General features: G+C 43.4%; 1 long non-coding RNA gene across 1 annotated transcript, besides 3 other annotated features; it reads right to left on the reverse strand.

The window, feature by feature from the left end:
- Nucleotides 1,687-1,796: an enhancer, noted in NCBI's record as "active region_6041". NCBI's record gives its function as "activates an Ori minimal core promoter by ATAC-STARR-seq in GM12878 lymphoblastoid cells {active_cell/tissue: GM12878}" and the evidence as "EXISTENCE:reporter gene assay evidence [ECO:0000049][PMID:35858748]".
- Nucleotides 4,724-4,933: an enhancer, noted in NCBI's record as "active region_6042". NCBI's record gives its function as "activates an Ori minimal core promoter by ATAC-STARR-seq in GM12878 lymphoblastoid cells {active_cell/tissue: GM12878}" and the evidence as "EXISTENCE:reporter gene assay evidence [ECO:0000049][PMID:35858748]".
- Nucleotides 4,964-5,063: an enhancer, noted in NCBI's record as "active region_6043". NCBI's record gives its function as "activates an Ori minimal core promoter by ATAC-STARR-seq in GM12878 lymphoblastoid cells {active_cell/tissue: GM12878}" and the evidence as "EXISTENCE:reporter gene assay evidence [ECO:0000049][PMID:35858748]".
- On the reverse strand, nt 5,213-6,885 carry LOC124902883 (uncharacterized). Its single transcript, XR_007063217.1, has 2 exons — nt 6,847-6,885; nt 5,213-5,514 (listed from the first exon to the last, which is right to left on the reverse strand). It is a non-coding gene; the product is annotated as an uncharacterized LOC124902883 (long non-coding RNA).
- Nucleotides 6,886-7,154: the final 269 nt, after the last annotated feature.

The raw sequence follows: 7,154 nt of genomic DNA on the forward strand, positions 1-7,154 counted from the left end.
TGGACTCCAACAGTCCTCCCACCTCAGCCTCCCAAAGTGCTGGGATTGTAGAAGTGAGCCTCCACACCTGGCCTGGAATGGACTTCTAAGGAATAAAATATATGGGCCGGGTGCAGTGGCTCACACCTGTAATCCCAGCACTTTGGGAGGCCGAGCTGGGTGGATCACGAGGTCAGGAGATGGAGACCATCCTGGCTAACATGGTGAAACCCTGTATCTACTAAAAATACAAAAAATTAGCTGGGCGTGGTGGCACACACCTGTAATCCCAGCTATTCTGGAGGCTGAGGCAGGAGAACCACTTGAACACAGAAGGCAGAGGTTTCAGTGAGCTGAGATGGCGCCACTGCACTCCAGCCTGGGCAACAGACCAAGACTCCGCCTCAAAAAAAAAAAAAAAAAAGTCTTATGTCTGGCATACTTTCTTAAATTTATATTATTAGCATATTTCTTGAATGCTAACCAGTAAAAGCCAAGCACAGATCAATAGTATATTTGTTGTACCACTGAGGATTTGTGCAGTGTGAATAAGTATATTCTATATGCTAATTTTTCTATTTAGGGAGCAAATAAGTATTAATATGACTTTAATAACTGTATTAATTTGTATTCATGCTGTTAATAAAGACATACCCGAGACTGGGTAATTTATAAAGGAAAGAGGTTTAATTGACTGAAAGTTCAGCATGGCTGAGAAGGCCTCAGGAAACTTACAATTATGGAGAAAGTGGAAGCAAACACGTCCTTCTTCACATGGCACAGGAAGGAGAATGAGAGCCGAGCAAAGGGTGAAGCCCCTTATAAAACCATCAGATCTTGTGAGACAAGCATTGGGGAAACCCCCACCATGATTAAATTACCTCCCACCAGGTCCCTTCCTGACTCATGGGGATTATGGAAACTACAATTCATCATGAGATTTGGGTGGGGACACAGCCAAACCATATCAATAACACAAAGAACAGCACGTAAAATTTGACCAGTTCTGGCTGGGCGTGGTGGCTCACGCCTGTAATCCCAGCACTTTGGGGGGCTGAGGTGGGTGGATCACGAGGTCAGGCATTCAAGAGCAGCCTGGCCAACATAGTGAAACCCCATTTCTACTAAAAACGCAAAAAATTAGCTGGGCGTCTTGACGGGCACCTGTAATCCCAGCTACGCAGGAGGCTGAGGCAGGAGCTTGAACCTGGGAGGTGGCGGTTGCAGTGAGCCGAGATCATGCCACTGCACTCCAGCTCGGGTGAAAGTGCAAGACTCTGTCTCAAAAAAAAAAAAAAAAAAAAAAATTGACCAGTTCTTTGCTAATGCTAAAAAAGAAGATTTAGTGATTCTCAACTGGCTATGATGACATGAGTCAGGAAAGTAACATCTCATGGCCCATGGAAAGGTTATCCTACTCATTACTCCACTCCTCAAATACTCTTCTCTCTGTCCCTTGACACCAGAAATTTGTTTGAAAAGAGATAAAGCCTTCTATTTCACAAAGATGTTGAAGAAAAACATAAGACTATTAGAGAGCACACATGGAGAGCTTAGTGAAAAGGTGTTTACTGCCAAACAGAGAGTTCATTTTAGCTCTTCAGGTAGACTTGGGAATGAGGCTTAGGGGAGAAAAAAAATGAGATAGTCTTTGAAGTCAAAATACAGTAAACTAGATCTGTCCCATATTAAGAAAGCAAGGTCTCTGAGTGATGTCATTGGCTACTCCTTCCTGGGTTCATGAGTTATTCAAGCCCAGAGCTGGTTGAAAGTGGTCTATTGTGAGCATTTAGTGCCCATCTCAGGATTACGGCATCCACCTGCCTTGGCTGGGTACGTGAGGACTCCCTTGAGATTACAGTGCCCAGCTTTCATCTGACATAAATTGGGATTATTTGACTCAGTCAAGTCTGAAAGAGGGTTGGCAGGCCAGGTGTCCAGGTCTATTAGGTGAAAGTTTATCACAAGTACAAGACAAAGGCAACTGAAGCTGAGAGTGGCAGAACAAAGCGAAAGTTTCAGTCAAGGTATAAATAACTGATCATAGATCCTGCCGTATTTCTTTTTCTTCTTCTTTTTTTTTTTTTGAGATGGAGTCTTGCTCTGTCGCCCAGGCTGGAGTGCAAGCGGCGCAATCTCAGCTCACTGCAACCTCCGCCCACCAGGTTCAAGCGATTCTCCTACCTAAGCCTCCCGAGTAGCTGGGACTACAGGCGCCCACCACCACGCCCAGCAATTTATTTTTTTTATTTTTATTTATTTATTTATTTTTTTAGTTTTAGTAGAGATGGGGTTTCGCCATGTTGGCCAGGCTGGTCTCGAATGCCTGACCTCGTGATCCACCCGCCTGGGCCTCTCAAAGTGCTGGGATCACAGGTGTGAGCCACCTCGCCTGGCCAGATCCTGCTATGTTTTGTTTGGAAGATAAGAAAGGAAAACAAGAATTTAATAACATTTCTATAATTCAAGCTGTAAGTGAGCCAACAGCAATTGTAGAAGATTACTTGGCAGTGACTAAGCATCCAAGCAGAAACCAGATGCATATCACAGCATGAGGCATTCAGATAGAGATATCTATAGGTGGTCACCTTGCTTCAATTCTACCAGGAGTCTTTCCTTTACACCCTCAGGTGTTTAAGAATCCACTTTTAAATTATAAAAATAAAATTACTAGACATTAGCTAACTGAGAAGGACTTGGAAAATAAAGAAGCTGGAAAGTAGGGAAACATGAAAGGGATGAAAGCATTAGAAAGGGAAGAACATAAGCTTCACCTATTTCACGATCCAATCTGCAACTCTCCTGGTAGTTAAGTTGTGAGGTTTTTTTGTTTTTGTTTTTTGAAACGGAGTCTTGCTCTTGTCGCCCAGGCTGTAGTGCAATGGCATGATCTTGGCTCACTGCAACCTCCACCTCCCAGTTTCAAGTGATTCTCTTGCCCCAGCCTCCCGAGTAGCCGGGATTACAGGCATCTGCCACCACTACCACTAATTTTTGTATTTTTAGTAGAGATGGGGTTTCACAATATTGGCCAGACTGTTCTTGAACTCCTGACCTCAGGTGATCAGCTTCCCAAAGCATAGGAATTACAGGTGTGAGTCAATGCACTCAGCCAAGTTGCAGTATTGACACATGCATGAGTATGTTCATTGCAGCACTATTCAAAATAGCCAAGACATAGAATGAACCTAGATGCTCATCAATGGTGGACTGGATAAAGGAAATGTGTATATATACACCATGGAATACTACACAGCCATAAAAAAGAAGAAAATCATGTCCTTTGCAGCAACATGGATGGAGCTAGAGGCCATTATCCTGAGCAAATTAACTCAGGAACAGAAAACCAAATACTGTGTGTTCTCATGTATTAGTAGAAGCTACACATTGAGTACACATGGACACAAAGAAGGGAACAACAGACACCAGGACCTACCTGAGGGCGGAGGGTGGGAGGAGGGTGAGGACTGAAAAACTGCCTATCAGTTATTATGCTGATTACCTGAGTGACAAAATCATCTGTACACCAAACCCCTGTGACACACAATTTACCTATGTAACAAACCTGTACATGCACCCCTTGAACTTAAAATAAACGTTGGAAAGAAAAAAAAAGTTACAGTCTCGAATTACTAAATTTACTTTGCTGTAAAATCACACAAAGCATTGTTTTTATGTTGGTCAAGTATCAGGTAGTATTCCTAAGTTAATGCTAAAGTAATGTCTTTAGTCGCAGAAGAAAAAGGATTTTTCTGACCCAACCCAAGAAGGCCCCTTTTTTCCCAAAGGGAACTGCTAGTCTGGTTAGGCACTTGTAACCCAACTTCACCTCAATTTGTGAAGAACTTATTAAACTAAATTCTCATATTACTGAGCAAAATTTTCCCAAATCAGAATTCTTTAGTTCCTTAAATCTTTAATTTTAAAGATTTTTAGAGGTTTTTCTGAAACCAAAATTCTAAAAAAATTACAAATTTCCTCATAATTATGCTTCTTTCAGGGAGCCAGATCTTTACATACAGACTTCTCCTGAGTAACAAAATTTGCAATTCCAAATACCAAACTGAAGTTTTTCTTCTACTCTTTCCAAAAGGAGGTAAGTAACCCATTTGGGATTATACTGGTCCCAATTTTGCACAAAAGATTCTGCCTGGGCGGGGAAAAAGTTCTAGGGGTTTTGAAAGATGTAAATTGCCACTTGTACCAAAGGGATGCTTATTGTTGGACCAGAATCGTTTCTTCAGGCCTAATTTACATCTAAATGTGGAGCAAGAGAGTGACACAGAAGGAAAACTCCACCTTTTCGTCCACTGGAGAAATGAAGGTAAGAGGGAAAAAATTCAAAAATTGTTTTCCACTTGTCATTTACTAAGTTGGAAACTGGGGGGGTTTTGTGAGAACATTGCAACTTCTCATTTTTCTCTCATGGTTTTTCACGCTTACTTGGTTCCTGGTGGTGGTGATTAACAACAGAACTCTTAAAGAGAGAGAGAAAAAAAAACCTCCTGTCATGGGTTTGTCTTTAGAGCCTGAAAGAAAAGTGAAGGATGGGGATGCAGGGGAGGAAAGATAATGTTTTTCCTCAACCCTCCTAAGCTCTTCCTTGGAATAGACTTCTGTAACAAAAGACGCATTAACACAAGAAAAACAGTTTATTAAGGCATGCAGCGCACATCTCAAGGGAGAAACGTCAGTGAAAAGTAACTCAAAATGGTGGCTTAGAACTCCACTTACAAGGCATCTTCAACAAAGAAAAACAAACGTGTAGAGAAATGACAGGACAAAGAAAAGTGGTTTTAGGTTTCCAAGCATGGGAAATTATGGGAAGGTAAATACATGGGAGTCAAGTTTGTTTGCAGACTCTCCTGGGGCCTCTCAGGGCTGACAGGAATGTAGAGCTGTCTCCAGTAAGGGAGAATCTATATCCTGTCTTCAGGAAGAAAAGCTAGAGGATAAGAGTTTTTTCCCCGTTTGCTGCTTCTCAATTGCCTTCAGCTCAAAAATAATTTTTATGTCAAAGAAGCGTATTTGGGGGTGACATAGTCTGGTTTCCTAAAGAGGGACTGTGTGGTCAGACGAGAAGAGAACCACTAGGAGTTGTGTACACAGCAGCAGCACCTAAAGGCGAGAAAGAAGGCCACAGCCCACACAACCAGGAGGGAAGGAGAACGCAGCCAGCATTGAGACAGGGCCCTTGGCTGAGCAGTCCGCAGGCCCATGTGTGAGTTCTCAATTAGCTGTCATAACATTCTGAATTTATTATCTATGGTCATTAGTCTCATATTTATCTCCCCAAGCATGCCTAAGCATTCATGCAGCTGTTGCAGATGGGGGAACCCTGGTCAGTGATTGGCCTCCTCATGCAAACTGGGCCAGTGAATCTCCGTGGAGGCCACGCTTTCCTGACCCAACAGTCAGCTCCCAGGAAGAAGTCCTCCCTCATTTTCAAGGCCTCATTCTTAGCTGTATCTGGGTGAGTGCTTAGCTGCCTCCACTATCAGGTCTCTTTTATCATTTCCCGCTCGCAGTAGCTTCCTGGGGATGGGAGAGAGGGTTAGGAAAAGGAAACAAGAATGATACAATCAGCCCACTTTTCTAGCACTTTGTACATGCAACTTTTGACATTTTTTACAGGCGTTTTACAGACATTTTTCTTTTATACATATAAAAGCATACCATATAAGTGACATTTGTTGTATAATTGGTCATGTGTTTTGTAGAGATTTTTTAATGTTCCTGAAATATGATAATGGCAAAGCCTGTAAAGTTTGATATGAGTTTATTGGCACTCATTAGATCACAAGACTCTTCAATTTCTGGCTAACTGCAGGCTAGGAAAAATATTTGTTTTTAGTTTGTGTGTTTTTGTCCTTACTCTCTTATTTTATTTTTTATTTCGTTTTATTATTTTTTTGAGATGGAGTCTCGCTCTGTAACCCAGGCTGGAGTGCAGTGGCGCGATCTCGGCTTACTGCAAGCTCCGCAGCCCGGGTTCACACCATTCTCCTGCCTCAGCCTCCCGAGTAGCTGGGACTACAGGCACCCACCACCACGCCCGGCTAATTTTTTTTTGGTATTTTTAGTAGAGACGGGGTTTCACCATGTTAGCCAGGATGGTCCCGATCTCCTGACCTCGTGATCCACCCGCTCAGCCTCCCAAAAGTGCTGGGATTACAGGCGTGAGCCACCGCGCCCGGCTCATTCCTGTTTTAAATCTTCAAACGGGGTCACAACTTTCCTGTTTCAATTTGCTGACTTCGAGCAATCAATTAGCAAAAAAAATTTTTTTTTTGAGACGAAGTCTCACTCTGTAACCCAGGCTGGAGTGCAGTGGCAAGATCTCAGCTCACTACAAGCGCTGCCTCCCGGGCTCATGCCATTCTCCTGCCTCAGCCTCCTGAGTAGCTGGGACTACAGGCGCACGCCACCACACCCGGCTAATTTTTTGTGTGTGTGCTTTTAGTAGAGATGGGGTTTCACCATGTTAGCCAGGATGGTCTCGATCTCCTGACCTTGTGATCCGCCCACCTCGGCCTCCCAAAGTGCTGGGATTACAGGCGTGAACCACTGCGCCCGGCAGCAAATATTTTTCTAACCCGTTTCTTACTGGGTACTTTGTGAAAGCAAGCTAGGCGATATAAGACAAGTTTCCTGTACTCAAGTGGCTTAAAATTTGGTTAGAGAGATTTTTTGTTTTTGAGACGGAGTTTCACTCTTGTTGCCCAGGCTGGAGTGCAATGGCAGGATCTCAGCTCACTGCAACTTCTGCCTCTTGGCCTCAGCCTCCCAAGTAGCTGGGATTACAGGCTATTTTTAGTTAGAGACGGGGTTTCGCCATGTTGGCCAGGTTGGTCTCGAACGCCTGACCTCAAGTGATGCACTCGCCTCAGCCTTCCAAAGTGCTGGGATTACAGGTGTGAGCCACCGCACCCAGCTGGTTAGAGAGATTGGATTCAAAGGATTCTATTATCCTTTGGTTGCTAGGATTGATTCAGCCATTGTTAGCAGCAGTGGTTCCCTTCTTTTCTCTCTCCACCTATGCAGATCTTTCACAAAGCAGATGAGTTTCTCATAGAGATAGGAGAAACACTCGCTTTAGACAAGGATCATTCGTTTATGAGTATAACGAAACACGTAACATGATAATAAACAAAAGAGATTTCAGGCCGGGCGTG

This window comes from Homo sapiens, chromosome 12, assembly GCF_000001405.40.
Source record: "Homo sapiens chromosome 12, GRCh38.p14 Primary Assembly".
Lineage (NCBI taxonomy): Eukaryota > Metazoa > Chordata > Mammalia > Primates > Hominidae > Homo > Homo sapiens.